A 23,741-nucleotide genomic window follows, 5' to 3' on the forward strand; every position below is an offset into this window, starting at 1 on the left:
TGATGAGCATTATTTGATTTTTGCTATGCAATATTGCATATGATATTTACTACCTGTGAACCTCCTTGTGGTATAGGACACACTTAGTGGAGCAGGTAATGGAAAGGGATTATTAAAGGAAACGATCTCATGCTTTGTTTTTGAGAGAAGGTTTCATCTGAAACAGAAACAGACACACATACCACGAGCCCGATTACTATAGAACCGAAGAGACCTTTCCAGCTGTTTACACTTCGGATGTAAAATGGCAATTTGACATAGACTAACAGTGTGATGTGAGCATCTGCGTAAAAAGGCGACATATGGAGCATGCCCAGTGTGGGAGTGCGTCCTCCTCCCTCCGCCTCCCCCCTCCCCCTCGAGATCTCCAAAGATAAGGCTTGAACTTTGCACTTGCAAATGTCACTGCATACGTTTTTGCACTAGTTTTTTTTTTTTTTTTTCTGCGATTCTTTTACAACTAATTTCTTTTAACAATTTGAGCGCAGGGAAGAGAATGTTTAGGGTTATGAGATGCATTAAGTTTAGAACGAGTTGATGCTCGGCTTTTGAATGCACTTGTCTTCTTTATTTTTAAAGCAATATAAAGCACTCGAGTGTGTGTTTTCAGCCCCTCCTGGAATGGGAAAATAAGAATCTCCCTGGATGGGAGTCCTCTGGGGCAGGGAGTGAAAGCCCCGGAGGCAGAAAGGGACGGAGAACAGGGGCTTGCCCAGAGCATGGATAGGAAAGGAGCTGGGGTTCTCCGGGGCTCAGCGCGCACTGAGAACCTGTGCCCGGGGCTGCAGCTGCGGACGATAAAGGCGCTGTCTGGCTCATGAAGGCCACCTGGATCAGGCTTCTGAAAAGAGCCAAGGGAGGAAGGCTGAAGAATTCTGATATCTGTGTAAGCGCAAGGGCTTTCGTTTGTGGGGAGAGGTTATTTTGTCTCTGCTTTTCTGTTGTTGCAGTGAGTGCAGGTAGAGAGGGTGGTTTGATTTGGTTAATCGGATCATGATTGCAGGAGAGGGAAGCTAGGGAGATTCCTCTCATTTTTTGAGCTCCTTTTCCTAGGTTGTGATTAATTGCCAGATGAGCTATCCCAGGCAGGTGTTTTCTGTAGACGGCTTTTTATTAAATCTAGGTAAAGGTATTTTAAAATGTGTTGCTGGAAGATGGAGTGAAGTTAGCTGCTAGTGTCTTACAGTTTTATCAGAGAAAATAGCAGGTGTATAAAAAGGTAAACAAGGCTTTTTCAGATTAAAGTGGGAATCATGTCATGGTAGTGACATTTTGGAGAGTTCAAGTTTATAACTCAGACTTTCTTTCATGTTTTTGTTAAGCTTAATGTCCTCCTAGTTTCAAATACCTGCTTTAGCATGTAGATTGTTCTTGAAGCTATCCTTGAAACCCATCGTTGTCCTTCAGTTCTGCACTGCACCATCAAGCTGTTTAATTATAAAACCAACTTGTTCTGGCTTCCAGGAAGGATAGTTTTTTGGAATATAAAGCTTGGGAAGGAATGGCAACTCAGTAGACACAACTATTCTATTGAATGTCTGCAAACCAGAGCATGGTTTTCTAGATAGGTTGCTGCAAAATGAATTATTTTCTCCTCTTTTCAGGAAAGTATAGAACAATCCGGGAAGCTAACTGCTGTGTCGATGAGACTTTTCCAATGCAAACATCATAGACTGAATCTACTTTAAAATGTACATTTTCCTCTCCAGGGTTCGGCAGACTCCTACACTAGCCGTCCATCCGATTCCGATGTATCTCTGGAGGAGGACCGGGAGGCAGTGCGCAGAGAAGCGGAGCGGCAGGCCCAGGCACAGTTGGAAAAAGCAAAGGTAAAATCGTTTCCTCCCTGCCAAGATCTTTGCAAGTTGTGCTGTGCCCCTGATAGACCACCTGTGGGAGTTTCCCCTAAAGGTTGTTTGATCTATTAGAGAATTTCATTGTCTGGTTTTAGAAAGGTACAAAAAATGGAGCCTAGTTTCTTCCCTTGGTAGAAAAAGGAAGTGTGGTATGTAAGACTGGTCTTCTATGTTGTTTTATAATCCAAGCAACTCTTTTCTGTGGGTGGATGGCTTATTTGGACACATACAAAAGGATCCTTGAATTTGCCAAGAGGAAAAACTGCACCTAATATCAACATGTTTTACTTCATTTCCACAGTAAACTATATCTCTGTTAAGAAAAAAAAAAAAAACAGACTGACTTCAAGCTATTGTTTATTTTCTTAGACTTGAACAGTTTTTCCCCTGAATTTTACTTCATAGGTGTTTTATGTTAGTATCCTGTATTTTCAAAATGGATTACATTATGCTTTTCCAAAAGCAACAGAGGATTTTATTGATTTTTAAAAGTTTCTTCTCTTAGAACATGTTCTTCTCCATTCCATCTTAATAAAGTGTGTATATATGGAGGGGAGACTGCAAAGCAGCTATGAAATAGATAGTTACAGGATTCATCTCAGGCCATGTCTCATTTCAGTCATTGCAGTGATTTGAATTCTTTCTCCCATGCTGTCCTTGGAATAGTGGCTATTTCTAAAGCATAGATTGTTCGAGTTGAAGGTGGCTTGGTTTGTGGGATACTCAGTCACTTCTCAATGAACCTATTTTAACATGGTTGTTGATTTTCCTTTGAAAAACTTGTTTTGAAAAAGGCTAAGTGCCTTGTTGATCATGCTAGAAATACCAGGATAGCATTTCTACTGCCTGCCTCATCTCTGAGATGAGTAAAATCTATGTGTGTTGCTATGGGAATTGTGGTTAGGAGATTCTGGTTTGAATGCATGGACAGCCCTTATGTAATACATTATTCATGACCTCTAGTGCGGCTGCCATCATAGTCTACTGAGGAACTGCCAGGAGACCTTGACTTCTAAAAAGCAGTACTTTTGTATATCAGAATGATGTTCTTACCTCGCCTGGCAGGGAAATTTTCTCCAGGACTGACAGTCTTCTCTGAAAGGCAGTTCATAAATAGCAGATGCAGGGAGGGTTTTGTGATGGTGGAAACTGATAAAACTGGACGTGGCCCAGTTGCCATCAATGAATCTGCTCTACCAATGTTAGCCACGTAGAACATTGTGAAGTTGAAATTAAATAATGAAGAACATTAAATAATGTATGACAGTCTGCATTGTAGTTAATATAGGTTGCAGCTGAGAGTCTGAATTCTATATTCTATATTTTGCATTGTGTGTAAAGAAGAGTACAAAAAAACTACAGTTTGTATTCCGAAAATAAGATTGTTCTATTTGCGGCTAATTTATTCATGTAAGTTTCACATACCAAAATTGAACAGTTTCTCGGGCTTATATGCCATCATGATACAGCCCAATAGACTGTAGGTTTGGTTTTCAATTGTTATGTAATTGGGGCATTTTTGTTCATGACTCTGTGGCTGTGTCATGAGTTAGATGACATTGCTGCAAAGAACTTTTAAAGTATCTTTTAACCAAGCATGGATCGAAATGTTGCTCCTAAATCAAACCAGGGTCGTGTTACTTGTCCTACAGCCTAAAAAGATGATAGTTAGAAATGATGTAGAGGATAAAAGAAAATGAAGAGACTTTAAAACAAAGGCAAAATAATTGAAAAACTATTTCCTATGTTTAAGGCAAGATAGTTTATTTAATGGGTGAGATGGGAATGGTTAATGGGTACCCAAAAAAAAAAAAAATAGAAAGAATGAATAAAACCTATTTGATAGCACAATAGGGTGACTAAAGTCAATAATAACTTAATTGTATATTTTTAAATAACTTAAAGAATGTAATTGGACTGTTCGTAGCTCACAGGATAAATGCTTGAGGGGATAGATGCCCCATTCTCCAGGGTATGCTTATTTCATATTGCATGCCTGTATCAAACCATCCCATGTACCTCATAAATATACACATCTATGTACCCATAAAATTTTTTAAAAAATAGTTTATTTATATTTTTTCTTTAAAATTAGGTCAATATTTTAAACCTTTGATGTATTCAAATGAGACACACTAGGGTAAGTGAGAATTTAAATATGTCTCAAAAGAAGATACAAAGATGAGCATTGAATTTTCCTTTATATTAAAATCATGGTTTGGTAAGTCTGGTTTATTAATCCCAATATCCTTGAAGAAATAATGCAAAATAGGGATTGTAGAAGGCTAGTTCCCTCTATAAATTTTTATTGTTATCTATAAAAATAACCTCATTCTTTGCCAGAATTTCATCTTGCCTTAATGAAACCTACTTCAAAATGAAGGCTTAAAGTTTAAAAACATAACAATTCATGCTATTTAACTTTAAATAGTTAAAAACACTTTGCACAGCCATTTTGGAAGAATCAGACATTTTCTACATTTACTTCGTAACCATCGAAGCATCTCTCAAACAGAAAGACTCTACAAGTCAGTGCTTTTACTCACCTTACAGATCACATGTAATAAATAAGTCTGTGCAGATGACGTTAGCAGTGCTTTCAGATCCTGGTCCTGTATAAATACAAACACATTATCCACTAATTGCCTAATAATACCTCTGTGAAATAACGTGATTAGCAAGAAGTGAGACTAGAGATACTGTCTTTTAAAATTTAAGTGACCTACAAAAGGTTATATAACGAAGTACTCTGTGCTGTCAATAAACCTATTACTCTCCACTACCACTTTGTTAAGGCTTTTCTTAACCACTAAACTGCAGTGAACAGATTAGATGTTAATTTTGAGGCCAATAAATACCAACTGACATGACATTGTTTTTTAACGTGGTGTTTTCTGGTTCCAAATGTGTGTTTTGATGTTGTACAGTTATGGCATACTTTGCAAATCCTGGTCATTTCAGTTTGTGCTATCTGATATTACCTTAAAGACAAGTAATATATGAATGTAATTTATTCCCACGTTGATCTTCTCTTTGAAAACAACTTTATTGAGATATAATTCACCCATTTAAAGTGTATAATTCAGTGGTTTTTAGTATGTTCAGAGGTGTACAACCATCACTATAATCAGTTTTAGAGCATTCTCATTGCCCCATAAAGAAATTCCAAGCCTGTTATCAGTCACTCTCCATTCTCCCCAACCATCTCCCTGTCCCCATGCGTAGAACCACTATTCAACTTTTGTTTCTACAGGTTTGTCTATTCTGTATATTGCATATAAATGAAATCTTACCATAGGTGATCTTTTGTGATTGGCTACTTTTGGACATCTGGGTTGTTTTCACCATTTAGGTATTGTGCGTAATGCTGTTACGAACATTCCTGTATATATTTTTTTGTGTGTGGGCGTATGTTTTCATTTCACATATGTATGTACTTTGGAGTGAAATTGCTGGGTCACTTGATCATCTCTTTTTAATTGAAATAATGATTTTCTTCTTTTCTCCTTTGATCCTCAAAAACGATGCCTTCTGCCCTATATACAGGGACTCTGAGTTGGGAAATCTGGATGTAGAAGGAGTTGAAGCAGTGATAAGATAGACTCAGCCAGGCACAATGGCTCATGCCTGTAATCCCAGCAATTTGGGAGGCCGAGGCGGGTGGATCACCTGAGGTCAGGAGTTTGAGACCAGCTTGGGCAACATGGTGAAACGCTGTCTCTACTAAAAATATAAAAATTAGCTGGGTTTGGTGGTGTATGCCTGTAATCCCAGCTACTTGGGAGGCTGAGGCAGGAGAATCACTTGACGCTGGGAGGGAAAGGTTGCAGTGAGCTGAGATCTCTTGCTCTCACGTGTGCAACAGAGCAAGACTCTGTCAAAAACAAACAAACAAACAAACAAACAAAAAACGATGGACTCAATGTGATCTTCTTAGCCGAATAGAATAACCTTCAATCTTGAGTCCATTGTTCTTTTATCATCGAATATCTACTATATTAAAGAAAATGTTAGGCCCAGTTGGTGAATAGGAGAGACTGCAAGGCCGGAGCCACAAAGAAGAAATTGGCAGGTCTTTTGCCTGCAAGAAGCTTCCATTGTTTGTTTTGGGAGAAAGTTGTGGTCATAAAAGGTGGAATACAATAGGTTGTGGGGAAGGGAGGGATAGAGAGGTCTGTGAGCACCCAGGTTTAGACTGCATCCTACTGGCAGGAAGAGAAAATCCTTCTTGGAGGAGGTAGTGGCTTAAAAGTAGACCTCACAGCAGGGGTTCGTATTCTGTTAGGAACCAGGCTACACAGCAGGAGGTGAACAGCAGCAGCCAGACAGGAAGCTTCATCTATATTTACAGCCACTCCCCACTGCTCACATAACCACCTGAGCTCCGCCTCCTGTCAGATCAATGGCAGCATTAGGTTCTCATAGGAGTGCAAACCCTTTTGTGAGCTATGCATGTGAGCGATCGAGGTTGCGCACTCCTTATGAGAGTCTAATGCCTGACGATCTGTCACTGTTTGCCATCACCCCTGGATGGGACCATCTAGTTGTAGGAAAACAAGCTCAGGGTTCCTACTGATTCTACATGATTGTAAGTTGTATAATTGTTTCATTATATACTACAATGTAATAATAACAGAAATAAAGTGCACAATCAATGTAATGTGCTTGAATCATCCCAAAACCATCCCCAAACCCCAGTCCATGGAACAATTGTTTTCCCTGGTGCCAAAAAGGTGGAGGACTGCTGCCTTAGAGGATGGACAGGTGAAGTTTAGCTCTTGAAGTACAAAGAGGGAAGTAAAGAAGAGAGAAATGCCTCCCAGGCCCTGGAATACAGTGTATGCGACGGTCAGTGTACGTAAAGGCTGTGCAGCAAGAAAACATAGACCCTTTCAGAGAAAGGTTAGTTTCTTGAGAAAATGTCTTTATTCTACCTTCACAAATTAGCTGGTTATAGTATTCAGAATGAAAAATGTTTTTCTGCAGATTTGTGAAGGTTTACTTCATGGTCTTCTAAAGTCCAGACCTGCTGTTCTGTCTTTTTTTTTTTTTTTTTTTTTTTTTTTTTTTGAGACAGGGCCTCCCTCTGTCGCCCAGGCTGGAGTGCAGTGGTGCCACCTCAGCTCAGTGCAACTCCACCTCCCGGGTTCAAGCGATTCTCACACCTCAGCCTTCTGAGTAGCTGGCATTACAGGCACGCACCACCACACCCAGATAATTTTTGTATTTTTAGTAGAGACAGGGTTTCTCCATGTTTTCCAGGCTGGTCTCAAATTCCTGTCCTCAAGTGATCCATCTGCCTCGGTCTCCCAGAGTGCTAGGCTTACAGATGTGGCCCACCATGCCCGGCCTGTTCTGTCTTTAAGTTTTTGATTTTTGTTTTTTTAAAATCTCTAATATTTTGGGAACTGATCTTCCTTTGGTATTTTGACATTTTGACATGACATGCCTTGGTGTGCACCTTTTTGTTTATTGTACTTGGCTTCTCATGCATTCATTGTGAAGGGCTGATCAGTTCAGTTCTGGAAACTGCCCCTTTTTTTGGAATAATTTCTTCCCCTATATTGTCCTCTTTTTACTGGCTCTCTGGTTTGTGCGATATTTGATTTGAGCCTCTGTGTAATCATTTTTCTCACTTTTTCTCCATCTTTTTGTTGTACCTGAATTTTTCTCAACTTCTAACCCATCTGCTCAAATTATATTTGTCAAAATGTCTAATTTCCAAGAGCATTCTTCTTTTCTTCATTTATAGCTTCTTGTTTTTATTCCATAGCCATAATATTTTCTCTTATGTCTCTAAAGATACTAATTTTTTTGAAGTTACCTGTGCTGTCACTGTTTATTAAGCTTCTTTAATATTTGATGTTACTTTTTACATAATGGAGACTTTTTTCAAATGTTTGATTTCTAATGACTATATTTATTATTTCATATATTTGAAGTGAAAATAAAGTGTAAGAAGCAGCAAAAGCATGCAACTTCATGAAGATTATGAAGTGGAAGCACCTATTGTAGAGGGTTAAAACTGAGTTATCCTGTAGGAAGTGCAAGGACTACCTACACAAAGATCATCAGAGGTGAAATTATTGACTGCCTTTTGGAATTTATACATCAACAAAAAGTTTTCAAATGAACTTAAGGAAACATTCACTATCCCTGACTTTTTTTTTTTTTTTTTTTTTTTTTGAGATGGAGTCTTGTTCTGTCACCCAGGCTGGAGTGCAGTGGTATGATCTCAGCCCACTGCAGCCTCTTCCTCCCGGGTTCAGGCAATTCTCCTGCCTCAGCCTCCCGAGTAGCTGGGACTACAGGTGTGCACCACTGCGCCCAGCTGATTTTTGTATTTTTAATAGAGACAGAGTTTCACCATGTTGGCCAGGCTGGTCTTGAACTCCTGACCTCAAGTGATCTGCCCACCTTGGACTCTTGAAGTTCTGGGATTACAAGCATGAGCCACTGTGCCTGGCCATACCCCCAACTTCTTAGCTAGGGAGTATAGGTGAGAAGACATGAGAAGATGTTGAAAATCTCTTACAAACACATAGGTTTACAAAACACAAGCCTAAAACCAAGATGCTCAGGCAGTGCTGAAATTTGCTCTTGGGAGGAAATCCCAGTTTCATGATGTTTGAAAACATTCTTTCTCTTGCTGGATCACGTGTCATCAGATAGAGAAGGGCCAAAATTGTAGTATAAAAGGTTCTTTAGGGATGAGATTATGGACGCAAATTTTTTCTTCAAGGGAAGAGTATTTTTTCTTACTACTAGTTTTCTTCAGGTTTGTTTATTATTATTTTTTTAGACAAGGTCTCACTCTGTTGCTGAGGCTGGAGTTGCAGTGGCATGATTACTGCTTACTGCATCCTCGAGCTCCTGGGCTCAAGTGATCCTCCCACCTCAGCCTCCAGAATAGCTGGGACCACAGGCATGCGCCACCATGCCTCGCTAACATTTTTTAAAATTTTTTTTGTAATCTCAGCACTTTGGGAGGCCAAGGCAGATGGATCACCTGAGGTCAGGAGTTCGAGGCCAGGCTGGCCAACATGGTGAAACCCGTTTCTACTAAAAATACAAAAAAAATAGCTGGGTGTGGTGTTGTGCATCTGTAAGCCCAGCTATCCCAGAGGCTGAAGCAGGAGAATCACTTGAACCCGGAGGCGGAGGTTGCAGTGAGCCGAGGTCGTGCCATTGCACTCCAGCCTGGGCAACAAGAGGGAAACTCTGTCTCCAGGAAAAAAAAAAAAAAAAGTAGAGACAAAGTCTCCTTATGTTGCCCAGCCTGGTCTTGAACTCCTGGGCTCAAGTAATCCTCCTGCCTCAACCTCCCAAACTGCTGGGACTACAGATATGAACCACTGTGCCCTGGAGTTTATTCATTCAGTTTTGACCTGTCAAACTTCTCTACTTCCAACAAGTTCAGCTTATCACTTATCTTGACTAAAAGAAAGCCTGAAGGCTTGAAGTTTCGGGAAAGGCCATCCGCTGGGCTGAGACTCTGTCTGACTCTGGACAATGTTTAATTTTTGATCATCTATTCATAATTAAGAGGAAGACATTGTAAAGCTGATTGGAAGCTCCAAATGCAGTGGCAAAGCTTCTTGACAGGTCATCTTGTATAGGGTAATTGGGGAGGGACTGAAGAACTGGTAGGAGTGGGCACCATTATCTTTTAATCTGGCCAATGCCCCAGAGAGGACTCCCCCAGTCTCCTGTCTTGCTCTATTGGACCGCTCACAGGCTTTTGGCAGTTGTCCAAGAAAAGGTGGCTAGAGTTTCATCACTTAGGATGGAGATCTTATAATTATTTAATCCTCCTATGTTCAGTATGTCACTCGCCTTTACTCTCAGCTATCCTTCTGATTGTCTGAAATCTCCTGGTCATCCTCTCCAGAGAATAAACCTTTGGTCTTCTGGAAGTGAGGGGAGAGAGAAAGTGGATTCTGATAAGTCCAATGTCCAGTCAGTGCTGTTTTCAGCCCCAGCCATACTTCATCCTTCAGAGGTGCCTGTTACCTCCAGTTCCACCTCCTTGCCAGGGCCCTGCAGCTGCAATCAGCTTTCTACTCCTTAGCCGTCCTGCCCGCCTCTTGCAGGTACTCTTATTCTAACACTTTCTACTCTGCTAGTTAATTAGTGCTTGTTCATTGTGTTCTATATTCTATGTTTCCACATACTCTCATCTGGTTTCCTGTTCTTAGTATTTGTGGGTTTATACTTTTTCTAAAAACATATTTTCAGGAGGAAGCATTAGTTCAGTTGACCATGTTTTGTTCCCAGTAGTTTTCAGTAAACATACTACAAAAAAGAAAAAATATTTCTCATCTTGCCTTAGTTCATAAATGCCTTACAGATTGAGAGAATTCCCCTAACTAGCCTTTGAAGAAGAAAGAAGAAACATGAACATGTTTACGTCCCATCAGCCTGAAGATAGTTTATTTCAAAAAAATATTAAACATGTTTTAAAAATATGTCTTATTGTGAACATTATATGGGAGGTAGGAGAGAAATATACACATATGTCTATAATGCGTATGTTCTTAAACCTACAAGATAGACTACTGGAGAATCCAGAGAATAGGTGGCAGGTGTGAAACTAGAGGGCTACTTATGGGGAAAAAAAAAATGTGTTGGCTGGGCGCGGTGGCTCATGCCTGTAATCCCAGCACTTTGGGAGGCCAAGGCAGGTGGATCACAAGGTCAGGAGTTTGAGAGCAGCCTGGCCAGCATGGTGAAACCCCATCTCTACTAAAAATACAAAAATTAGCTAGGCATGGTTGTGGGCACCTGTAATCCCAACTACTCTGGAGACTGAGGCAAGAGAATCACTGGAACCCAGGAGGCAGAGGTTGCAGTGAGCTGAGATCACGCCACTGCACTCCAGCCTGGGCGACAGAGCAAGACTCCATTTAAAAAAAATAAAAAAGAAAGATAAAAATCCAGCAGCGATACCTTATGAAAAACGCAAGCACAAAATATGTCACACATTCTTATTAAAATATTTTAGGCTGAAATTATTTTCACAATGTACATTTTCATGCTTCTTGCTTTAAAAAATTGTCAACTCTTTGCTTATAAGCATGTACCTTTCAAGTATAGTTAGAAAACTGGCTGAATATGTCTAATTTCTAGCCGCATGCGTTTGTTTATTGTTCAAATACGCATTAGCTTAGATTGCGTTTTTCTACCTGTGATAAATAAAAAGAGTGCAGAAGCCCGCTGGACCTCTGTTAGGCTTCTCTTCCCTGTTGACATATACTTATGACTGGGTAGGTAACAATCACACACATTGGTACTGTCGTTCTTCCACTCACCTCTAATGTTAATTGATGATAATATTAATAATGACAACAGTAATAGCACTTAATGCCCAATCACTGCTCATTATAGACAATTTGAAAGATATAAAAGGAAAAGGCAAAATTTGTGTCTTTGAGCATTTTTTTTTTTTTTTTTTTTGAGATGGAACCTCGCTCTGTTGCCCAGGCTGGAGTGTAGTGCCACCATCTTGGCTCACTGCAGCCTCTGCCTCCTGGGTTCAAGCAATTCTCCTGCCTCAGCCTCCGGAGTAGCTGGGATTGCAGGCACCTGCCACCATGTGGGCTAATTTTTGTATTTTAAGTAGAGATGGGGTTTTACCATGTTGGCCAGGCTGTTCTCGAACTCCTGACCTCAAGTGATCTGCCTGCCTCGGCCTCCCAAAGTGCTGGAATTACAGGCGTGAGCCACTGTGCCCAGCCTCTTTAAGCATGTAGAAATATATTTGAGCAGTCATGACCTTACAATACATACAGCACTGATGACTACACTATCAGCAAAATCCTTACTCTCGAAGTTCTTGCTGCAAAACAAACAGATCTCAGCCTAGTGGCATTAAGTCACCATTTTATTTAGGTTACACTTCTCTGCCACACATCCCTGGCCAGCTTTCTGGTTAGTTGGTGACCAGGTGACCTGGGATGGCTTGTCACATGTGTCTGGAGGCTGATAGCTGTCAGCATGTGTGTCTCGTTCTCTTCCATATGGTTGTTTATCCTCCAACAGGCTGGCTAGGGTTCGCATGCTGGTCCCAGGGCTGCTTCATGAGAGAGCAAGCTCCAAGGGGGTGATAATCATATCTCTACTTATGTCATGTTTGCTAATGTCCCATTGGCCAAAGCAAGTCACCGGCCTAAGCCTGGAGTCAAATGGGAATTACCAAGGGTGTGGATTCAGGTGGGATATGTTGCAACCACTTTCTGCAAACAACCTGCCACATTCATCTTTTTTCTTCCTTACCCCTTTGGAAGAAGAAATATCTGCATGCCTTGTGAAATAAACAACGCTGTCCTCCCTTCTGTCCTATTTTTTTCCCTTCTTTCTACTGCCAACCTTATCACCCCAGGCTTTATTCTCCTGCTTCAATTTCTTCCCTACTTACTCTTTAACACCGTGAAACTGATTTCTGTCTCCATCTCTTTACTGAGGGTCTCTAGTGACTTCCTAATCACAAAGCCACTGACCTTTTATTAAACCTCCCCTTGACATCTCTGCAAACTTCAATTTGTTTTTCTTCTCTGCTAAGTCACTTTTGTCTTGCAGGTGCTGGTACACACAAAGTCTACTTCTACTACCACTCTGGTGGTTCCTGTTCAGTCTCTTCTGTTTCGACTTTTAGTTCCCTCACCTGAAATGTGGAAGTCCATTCAACCAAATGCTCAGGCCTTGGCCTCCTGATGTTTGTTGCTTTAGGCATGTCATTGGTTTCCAGACTGAGCTCTGTAGAGCCCCAAGAGATCCATGGATTCTTCTGGAGTCACTGCAGAGGCTTAGGGATGCCCAGCAGGCTGTGGTCTGTGCGTTGTACCCAGGATTCAGCCAGAACAATGCTACCTTCACATGTTTTATTTTATTGTGTTGTATTTTTATTTTTTATTTTTTGAGATGGAGTTTTACTCTTATTACCCAGGCTAGATTGCAGTGGCACGATCTTAGCTGACTGCAACTTCTGCCCCCCGGGTTCAAGTCGTTCTCCTGCCTCAGCCTTCCAAGTAGCTGGGATTACAGGCACATGCCATCACACCCAGGTAATTTTTTGTATTTTTAGTAGAGATGGGGCTTCACCCTGTTGACCAGGCTGGTCTCGAACTCCTGACCTCAGGTGATCCACCCACCTCAACCTCCCAAAGTGCTGGGATTACGGGCATGAGCCACTGTGCCCAGCCACACATATTTTATGTATTGGGACCTTTATGTGCATTTTCCTTTGAATGAAGGGTTTCACCTCAGGAGCGAGCTTTAAACCACTGCCATCTTCCCTTCTATTCTCTCATACTTCTCCAGGCTTCAGCCGTCACTTATAGTTAGTGTCTTTGGTCTTCGCCTCTCTCCCTAGTGCTTGGATCTCAGGTCCTCTTTTTGGATCTCTGTCGGTTCTGCCACCCACTTAAAATTGAGCTCCCAGTCTTTTCCTTTAAACCCTTTCTTCTCTGCATTTTCCATTTCCATTCTCATTACCTCCATCCTTCCAAATCTGAAACCTTCGTCGAAGGGTCAACAAATCTTTTCCTGGGAATTATCAGAAGGGAAATATTGCAGGGGCAGGGGTCATGCATTCTCTATGCAACTGCTCAGAAACCTGGATTTGGATTCCATCTCTGCCATGGAATGGCTGCCTGACTTTTTGATAAATTACAGGTGAAGCTAAGTTTTGCCATTTGTAAAAGGACACTAACCTCTGTTTGACAGGATTCCAGTGATAATTGAATAAGCTGTTACGTATAAAGCACAAGGTTCCTGGACCTGTCTTTCCCTACTCTAGCCCTTGTGATGGGCACAGGCAACTGGGGCACACAGCACCTGCCGTGGAGCAGTTCAGGGTGTTGTGAGGAATCTGAATGGAAAGTAATGAAACAAGTGTCTTTGCCTCCTCTGTAGTTATGTGCGGTCTTACACTATTTTACATGGTCACTATCAGCTTAGTTGTTTGTCACTTGTTGGTGACTGCTGTAAGGTAGATTTGAGATGTCCAGGGACTGCAGAGCTGCCTGGGATATGACTGGCATTGACACACTTGCTTGATCTCACAGCAGTTGCCATGGCAGGTCAGGTTGCATCCCCACCCATCCCAGTGACGAAGGCATGGGCCTTGTCTCCTGTACTCTAACTTTGAGATGTGCTTTCTGCCTCTTAGTCACATGGGTGCAGATCTCTGCCTGAGTTATCAAGAGCAATTGAACTCTCTCTTGCTCCTCTCACAGGCTCTTTTCTGAGTAACACCAAGTACTTGGGAACAAAATTACACATTGCTCTCTGTTTATTTATGGTTATATTTATCTTGGCAATCGACCTGTTAAGCTAGTTTTAACTTTCTTATGGGTAACAGTCACATGTTTTAAAAGGAACCTGATGGTTCCAGAATCCTTGTTACTACTACCTTTTTTTTTTTTTTTTTTTTTTGGAGACAGAATCTCTGTCACCCAGGCTGGAGCGCAGTGGCACAATCTCGGCTCACTGCAACCTCTGACTCCCGAGTTCAAGCAATTCTCCTGCCTCAGCCTCCCAAGTTGCTAGGATTACAGGTGTGCACCACCACAGCCTGCTAATTTTTGTATTTTTAGCAAAAATGGGGTTTCACCAGGTTGGCCAGGCTGCTCTCATAGACTTCTGGCTATTTTAAAACCATAAATAGATTAAGGAAGGATTATTATAAATTGCAGTTCAAGCTTTTTTTTTTTATCTTAGAGCACTATAACTGAATGTCTTTGTTGTATCATTGTAAACACAGCAATAAATATGCAGTTCTTCCCTCCCTTTTTCTCCACCAGATGTTAACAGGGAACGACATGAAGACTTTTACGCAGAGCTTAAAACAGTCAACCCTCTCTGTTCTTACAAGTTTTTGCCCCATCAATGGCTACATAAAAGATGTTGAAAACTGTGGAAAAAAGTAGAATGTATTTAATTAGCAAACATTTGATGAGTGGTATCATGCTATCGAGTTGGAATTTAAGGAAGGGAAATTGAAGATGTGTTAGATGTGGTGGTTTCTTCCTCAAGAAGCTCATGGTCTAATGGTCATGCTAAAAATGTGTATCACTGAGTAATGTGGTAGCTATCAGACTTAAAGCACTGTAGGCTTGGCATGGTGGCTCATGCCTGTAATCTCAGCACTTCGAGAGGCTGAGGTGGGAGAAAAGCTTTAGGCCAGGAGTTTGAGATCAGCTTGGGCAACACAGTGAGATCTCATCTCTACAAAAAATAAGCAAAAATAGTTAGGTATGGTGGTACATGCCTGCAGTTCCAGCTACTCAGAAGGCTGAGGCAGGAGGATTGCTTGAGCCTAGGAGTTAGAAGCCACAATAAGCTATAACTGCACCAATATACTCCAGCCTGCATGACACAGAAAGACCTTGTCTCTTAAAAAAAAAAAAACAAAGAAAAGAAAAAAAAAGCATTATGAGCCAAATGGCAAATGGGTGGACCCCAACACTGCTGGAGAAGGCAGTGCTGATGACCAGAGAAGGGCACTTTAAATTATATAAGCCCCCACTGTTAGTGACTGACCCTCTGGAGGCAGAGCCTACGTTAACCAGCAATGTGATTCTCTCTAAGGTTAGCAAGATGATTGCTAACTATGGGGTCCAACAACGCCTGCCATTTTAGATTATTTTCATTTTAAATCTCAATTCGCAATTTACTTAATGGCCCAAGCATTTTTTCATCCTCATAACCATTCGTAAGTGTACAATTGTATGAAGTATTTCACACTGTTGTGCCACAGATGCCTAGAATCTTTTCATCTTGCAAATCTGAAACTCTATATCATCTGAACAATTCCTTATCACCCTGCCCTGCCTCAGCCCCAGACAACTACCATGCTACAATTTTTTTTTTATTTGCTCAAATTTATGGGGTAGCTAAGACATTTTTTACAGGTATATAATGCATAATGATCAAGTCAGGGGACTCAGAGTGTCCGTCACCCAAGTACAGCAGTTTTGTTGAGTATAGTCATCCTACTCTGCTGTCAAACACTGAATTGATTCCTTCCATCTTACTGTATGTTTGTACCCTTTAACCCACCTCTCTTCCTCCTCCCTGCACCCCCCACTCACCCTTTTCAGTCTGTTATTTTTCCACTCTTTATCTCCATGTGTTCAATATTTGTCCCTTTGTGACTGGCTTATCTCAGCATGATATCCTCAAGATTCATCTATGTTGTCCCATGTGACAGAATTTCCTTCTTTTTCAAGGCTGAGTAATATTCCATTACATGTATAGACCACATTTCTTTATCCATTTATCTGTCAATGGGTATTTGGGCTGCTTCCACCTCTTGGCTACTGTGAATAATGCTATAAAGTTTTGTTTGCTTCTTTGTTTTTTGAGACAAAGTCTCACTCTGTCACCCAGGCTGGAGTGCATTGGCACGATCTCAGCTCACTGCAACCTCCACCTCCTGGGTTCAAAGGATTCTCCTGCCTCAGCCTCCTGAGTAGCTGGGACTACAGGTGTGCGCCATCATGGCCAGCTAATTTTTTTTAGTAGAGACAGGGTTTTGCCATATTGGCCAGAGTGGTCTTGAACCCCTGACCTCAGGTGATCCACCAGCCACAGCCTCCCGAAGTTTTCTTTAAATCTTCAACTTTTTTTCAATGAGCCTGTCAAGGTGGACTGTCAGCAAGCAGGAACTATAGCGTATGTTTCACAGCGGCTCAGTGTTTAACTTCCCGTTGTATTGTTTTGCTTGGTCTTTAACAAGTACTAAGTAGGGAAGTGGAAGCAGATATAGTTACCCCATTTTATGGATGAGCAAACTGATGGTGGATACTGAAGGATCTTGCCCAAGCTCACTGAGCTCATAAGGGGCAGAATTAGGGCAAGGACCCAGGCTTCTGCCTCATTTTTTTTTTTTTAATGTTCTTTCACCTCATCAAGGAGCTGCTTTTAGAAAGACACAGGCTTATGAAAGCAGAAAGTGCATTAAAAAAAAAAAGACACCAGCTGAGAATGCATTAATGTTTCCTCTTTGTTTCATGCTCTAGAGAGATTAAGGAAATAAAAGCTTTTTTTTTTCTCTTTAACTATAAAAGCAAAAATAAAGCAGGGCAGCTATTAAGACGATTTTAAAAGTATAAACATCTTCGTGCAATTTTTTTTTGCTGTTGAGTCTGGATAGAGTTTACAAGCAAAAAACTCACCTTTTGTCCTGCTTTTTAAAGTTTAGTTTATTGTCATTACACCATTGATGTGAAACAAGTCAATTTTTACACTTCAACATTATTTAAACAAAAATCTTGAGCTAAAAATTCTTTTTTTTTTTTTTTTTTTTTTTTTGAGACGAAGTTTCACTGTTGTTGCTCAGGCTGGAATGCAGTGGCGCGATCTCGGCTCACTGCATCCTCTGCCTCCCGGGTTCAAGCGATTCTCCTGCCTCAGCCTCCCTAGTAGCTGGGATTACGGGCACACACCACCACACCCGGCTAATTTTTGTATTTTTAGTAGAGACAGGTTTCACCATGTTGGCCAGGCTGCTCTCAAACTCCTGACCTCAAGTGATCCACCTGCCTTGGCCTCCCGAAGTGGAGATAAAAATTCTTGAATTTAATATGTTGTTAGTTAAAGGAAGACCTTCCAGGATGTCTGTGTATATCCTTTTCATGGTTAAATGGAGATACAAATGGAACGTACTTAATACTATTTGAATATGCCTTTTCCTGTAGAGAAATGGAAAAATAATCAAATATCTAGGAAATAGATTGTATGAAGAATGCTGAAGAAACAAAATTTAAATAGAGCAAGGAAGAGAAAATTGAAGTTAAAATGAAACGATTTAAAAAAAGATTTTATTAAGTGTTGCCTATTCGTAAGGGGAAAAAAACGAAAGGAACAAACTAAAAATTACAGCAGCCAAAAATATAAAGTTAGATGTAACAATTGACTAGAGAAACATGAAGACGAGTTATAAAGGAAGATTAGGAGACTGCTGTAGTGCAGGAGTGCAGGGTTGTGGTTTTTTGTTTGTTTGTTTATTTGTTTGTTTTTGAGATGGAGTTTCGCTCTGTCGCCAGGCTGGAGTGCAGTGGCGCCCTCTTGGCTCACTGCAACCTCTGCCTCCCATGTTCAGGCGATTCTCCTGCCTCATCCTCCCGAGGAGTTGGGACTACAGGCGCACGCCACTATGCTCAGCTAATTTTTGTATTTTTAGTAGCAATGGGGTTTCACGATATTAGCCAGGATGGTCTCGATCTCTTGACCTCGTGATCCACCCGCCTTACTAAACTCCATTTTTAAGGAAGGAAAATGAATCGCACAATCCGCTGTCAGTTGTTTATTCTGATTTCCTACTAAAAATTATTTCAATTGATATTTGCAGGATTAACACATGTTAAAGCAAACTAAATATGGCCTGAGAAGGCCTCCTTACTTCTACATTTGAGTCCTCGTGGATGAACTGTAATCTAGCTTAATAGGCAGATAAGATTGAAAACCTAACTTGGAAGTATGTGCCTGTAACAGTAACTGAGTCTTGGCCAATCCCAGCGGCCGTACTTCAACCACTCACAGACTGCTAAGTGTTCAAACTGTGTTCAAATAAGACAAACGCCAATATGTAGCCAGTCCAGCTATTTCTGTACCTCACTGCCGATTTCTGTATGTCACTTCCCTTTTTTTTGGTCTATAAATGTGTTCTGACCACAGGGCATCAGGGCGTCAGTTCTTGAATATTTGACACCAGTATCATGGTCTCATCCTGCCCTCCCTAGACTGGACAGGAAGTGAATTCAACAGGAAGTAGGCAAAAATGTACAGTCTAATCTTCTCGTCTTTGGCTTTCTCGTTTCATTCCCTGGATTTTTAAACAACCAACTATCCCTTTGTCTTCTTAGAGGAACTGTAATCATCCCTGAATGAAATATTTATTGGATCAGTTGTAAGCTTACATTTGAGTCAACCTACATTCCTTACAGTTGAGGGTTAAGTTTCAAGATCCTTTATGAGGCAACTCAGTGACACTCATCCCCAGGCAGAATTAAAGGAGATCTTTGGCTGTGACAATCTAAAGCTCTTTGGCTATGACAGAACAAGGAAAGTTACCGTGGTTGAACTAGATGGGAAGAACTACTTGCTTCTCCTCTGAGCGTACTGTGACTTGCTTAATTCTATGAGTTTAAGTAGCCTGAGGATTCAATAGGTCACATAATGGATATGCAAAATGGAGTATAGAAACCCTTTAATAAGTAAAAATCTCCAGGTGCTGTATTCAGCATACTTGCATGGATCCCTGACACTGTGGTGTATGTTAGGTAAGACATAGAAAATGCAATAGTAACTGTATTATAATGTACACAACCATTCTCTTCAACTCTTTACTTTAAAATGAGAGAGAGAGAAGGTGACACGGAGCCCTAGTCACACAGCTATGATTGGACTAAGGTTATGAACTAGTGTCCATTTTACCACATGGTCCATCTACTGAATTGGAGTTTCAGGGGTGGTAGTTGAGTCAGGACCCTCTTATTCAAATGATCAAAAGTCCAATAAAGGTGTACCTGGAAAAGGGGTCTTGTCCAGACCCCAAGAGCGGGTTCTTGAATGTCACATGGGAAAGAATTCAGGGAAAGTCACAGAATATATTTAAAACAATTTATTAGCAACTGCTGTATTACAGAGTAGAGCATCCTCAGAAAGAAAGGGGAGGAATGTCCCTATCTTAAATGGAATGCTGGCTTATATGGGTTATTAAGGTTAAGAATAGTGTACTTTATTACAAAAGCTTGTGATCAGCTGTGACAGGCTATTAGTATTGTTATTTTCCTATGTTAATATTGATTTCAGCAAGAATTTAGGAATGCACTACTATCTCTAAAGCAAAACTTCTTATTAAACTAAGAATGTTTTTTCTGTTTAAAATATCAGGACATTTCTATAAGTTCTAGGTTTTTATTTAGTTAGTTAGCATCATTAACTCGTTCCCTCAACTGTAAGTATCTTATGACCAGGCGTGCCCAACCCCCTGGGAATGTAACCCAGCCAGTTTGGCCTTATCTGGCCTTTGTTCAAGATGGAGTCACTCTGGTTAGGATGCCTGTGACCAAAGGACATAGCCAAAACTTGAATGTTTCATCTCAGCCTAATACACTGATGAATGTATACTCCAGCATTAATCTTTTGTTATGAAACCAAGATCTATTCTTTAAGTAGAAGTCTGTGTATTAGTCTGGGTTCTCCAGATAAACAGACCTAATAGGAGATAAACACACATACACACACACACACACAGAGAGAGAGAGAGAGAGAGAAGTATATGGAGATTTATTATAAGAAATTGGTGCACATGATTATGGAAGCTAAGAAATCCCATGATCTGATCTGCCAACTGTAACTGGGGACCCAGGAAGGCTGATGGTATAATTCCAGCTCCAAGAGCAGAGAAAAGATCGATGGATGTCTCACCACAAGCAGGCAGGCAGAAAGAAAAATGAGTGAATTCCTCCTTCTTCTACCTTGTATTCTATTCAAGCCCCCAACAGATTGGATCAAGCTCATCCACATTGGAGAAGGCAGTCAACTTACTCAGTCCACCAATTCAAATGCTAATTTCACCCCAAACACCCTCACAGACATACCCAGAAATATTGTTTAAATTTGCACCCTGTGGTGCAATCAAGTTGACCATAAAATTAGCCATCACAGTCAGCTAATTGAAGTTATTACTCTACTTATATGACCATCTTCAGTCTAGAATTTAGTTAAACATTCGAGTTGGACCATTATCTGTAGGAATTTGGGTTCCAGGAAATACAAGAAGAACTGAAAATAATTTTTTAAAAAAATTTAAACCATAGTCATGTTTATGCCTGAAAATAATACTTTAAATTTTTTCCTAAATATTCTAGAAATTAAAGTTTACCAAACATGAACCATTTGTTATTAATATTATACTTTTGATGAATGACTTGATAAAATACAAAAGAAGGAAATGTATTTTTTAGGAGAGGAATTTGAATAATTTTTCCCCAAAAAATTCATATGTATGTAAAATATCTTCATCTTAGTAAAGGTCCATTAGCCCTTGTTAACTCTGGTCCAAGAAAATCTATCAATTCAAGTTAGAAAAACAGGTACTCAATAATCTTAGCCCTTGACATTTTTCTTTAAATTTCTCTGAAATACATATTTTTTTTTTTTGTTTCCTTGGCTGAAAAATGTTCATTGTAATATTACCAGTGTGGTTTTTTTTGTTTTTTTGTTTTTTTTTTTCTAAGACAGAATTTCACTCTTGTTGCCCAGGCTGGAGTACAATGGTGCAATCTTGGCCCCCTGCAACCTCTGCCTCCCAATTTCAAGTGATTCTCTGGCCTCAGCCTCCGGAGTAGCTGGGATTACAGGAATGCACCACCACACCCGGCTAATTTTTTGTATTTTTTAGTAGAGACAGAGTTTCTCCATGTTGGTCAGGCTGGTCTCAAACTCCCGACCTCAGGTGATCCACCCACCTCAACCTCCCAAAGTTCTGGGATTACAGGCCTGAGCCACCGTGCCTGGCCCAGTATGGTATTTTTAAAAGGTTTTTTAAGTGGTTATTTTTTTCTGGCTCATGAATATCTTTGAATATATGATATGAATCTGTGAGCCTTCTCCAAAAAATAGCTTATATCTAAACAGCTTGGCTTATATTTCCAGGGTCTCCACAGGCCTCTGAAACAAACCTATATATCCTAAGGGTATACAAAGTACAAGAATCTCTTGCTAATAAGCCCAGCCTTTTTCCTTTTAGAGTGGCTGATGCTTGAAGAACTATGGAACGTTGGGGTGTATTCCTTTGCTCTCAGATACTTGAGGAGATCACCACATAAATTCTTAGAGTTCTGGGTTTAGCTGTAGTGTTTAGTCTAGTGTCGAAGCAGAGGTTGGGCAAATATACACTACTGTAAATACTTTCTTGTGCTATAGCTGTTAAGCATGTTCTAGTTTAAACAGTTGTCAGTGATTAGCGATTTTGATGTTCCGTTTTAAGATTTTGTAATGGTCTAGACGAACATGAACAAAACCAAAAGACCGTTTCAAGTTCAGCAGATAGTAGGAGCTAATCTTTTCTGTGGTTTGGTTTGGTCGCCTGCCTTAGGTTGGTTTACTAGTCTGTGACTTTCTGAGTTGCTTTATCTTGTGCTAACTTCTATCAGATACAATCTCCATATTGATTCCTGTTTATTCTTGCCTGGATGATCTATTCCATTTAGATAGCTAGAACATTCAGTAGCTCTCTTGAGGGAATCCCACCTGTGGGTTGCAGAAGGGTAACCTACGGATGCCCGATTGTCCTTTTTCCCTGGATTAAAAAGAAACCATTTGCCATTTTTCTGGCTTCTTAGAAAAATAAATGATATATGAAATGTTTGCAGCAGCAGAACTTTTTCCTGCCCAAAGGTTTAAGATTCCATGGACACATCTCCTGGTCTAGCATGCTATTGCTCTTTCTCATCAACTTTCCATCTCTCCTCACTCGTCACCTCCCACCCCAAATAACTTGTTTGTGTATTCCTCTTACAGCCTTTTTCACAGCATATTGGGTTATTTGTTTCTCTTGCCAAACATGTACAATTTGGCGTACCTGGGACTGAGGAATGGCCTGTTGACACTTCAAAAAAAATTTTTTTTAAGATGGAGTTTCATTCTTGTCACCCAGGCTGTAGTATGAGTGCAATGGCGGATCTCAGCTCACTGCAACCTCCACCTCCCACGTTCAAGTGATTCCCCTGCTTCAGCCTCCCAAGTAGCTGCGATTATAGGCATGCGACACCACACCCAGCTAATTTTGTATTTTTAGTAGAGACGGGGTTTCACTATGTTGGTCAAGCTGGTCTCAAACTCCTGACCTCAGGTGATCCACCCATGTTGGCTTCCCAAATTGCTGTGATTACAGGCGTGAGCCACTGCGCCTGGCCAACACTTAAAATTTAATTTCTTTGTAGAGGCATAATAAATATGTGTGGACTGAATGAATCACATGATCTGAGTGATAGGAAGTGTGTGAATGGAATCCTAAACGTTTGGAGGTCATCATATTTTGCCATCTTTATCCTTTATCTTACCTGTTTTATGGGGTTATGTCTTGTCTCTACAATTACATGTGACCTCAGTGAGGAATCAGGATTGTCAATTATGTCTCCATTCCCAGTGTAGTGAGTGATATGTAGAATGACTTTTGGTTGCATTATGACACTCTTTAGTGAAAAGTAATGATTAAATAGTTTGGGGTGGAGATAACGTGAAGAGCTCTTTTTAGAAACTTTCTGTTTGGTGCAGTAGGTTACCAAGGCATGGGCCGGAGGAAGATATAGTAGGAGGTGGTCTCTGCCAGGAGAAAGAATTCCCCCTGTAGGAAGCCAAGTTCCTGACTAGCAGTTGCCAGGGCTTTCTGTGTCCTGCCATAAGCAACGGTCCCTTCAAGCCCAGTTCCTGCAAAGCTGTTCTGTTACATAAAGATGAAATTATAAATACACTGGGGTATCTTTCAAGTAAAATTAACTCTATATATTAAAATTCACCTTATATGTATTCCACAAGCAAATGTCCTGAATTCTTGGTCCATGTGAAGTTTGATTATTGCAATTTTGGGAATAATTAGGGAAGAGAATATATAGTAACATAAAGGACTCAAGCATAAGACATACAAATGTCTAATATTCCCCCCTCCATGTGCAGACTATTGGATTATTCCATTTGCTTTTGTAATATGGGAATACAGCTGAAGAATAAAATGCAATGACATGACCTCATGATTACTGGAAAGAGTTTTTTCTCTTATTTACTGATAAATCTGCTATAATTTGAGATCAATATGTAATAACATTTTTCTGCAGGTGTTGACTACAAATATATCCCTATATAATAAAAATTTAT

At 40.4% G+C, this 23,741-nt stretch overlaps 1 protein-coding gene across 14 annotated transcripts in view; it reads left to right on the top strand.

Moving 5' to 3' along the window:
- The window catches only part of CACNB2 (calcium voltage-gated channel auxiliary subunit beta 2), a 403,134-nt gene that overhangs the window by 259,791 nt on the left and 119,602 nt on the right, over positions 1–23,741 (top strand). For 12 of the 14 annotated variants that reach the window (NM_201571.4, NM_001167945.2, NM_201572.4 and 9 more), the window contains one exon: positions 1,710–1,829. In NM_201571.4, the coding sequence (NP_963865.2) occupies positions 1,710–1,829 (120 nt within the window). Of the gene's footprint in view, positions 1–360; positions 887–1,709; positions 1,830–23,741 lie in introns of those variants that run through there. The other 2 variants (NM_201570.3, NM_001410882.1) reach the window with 1 other exon arrangement.

Source organism: Homo sapiens, chromosome 10 (assembly GCF_000001405.40).
Source record: "Homo sapiens chromosome 10, GRCh38.p14 Primary Assembly".
In the NCBI taxonomy this organism is placed as follows: Eukaryota; Metazoa; Chordata; class Mammalia; order Primates; family Hominidae; genus Homo; species Homo sapiens.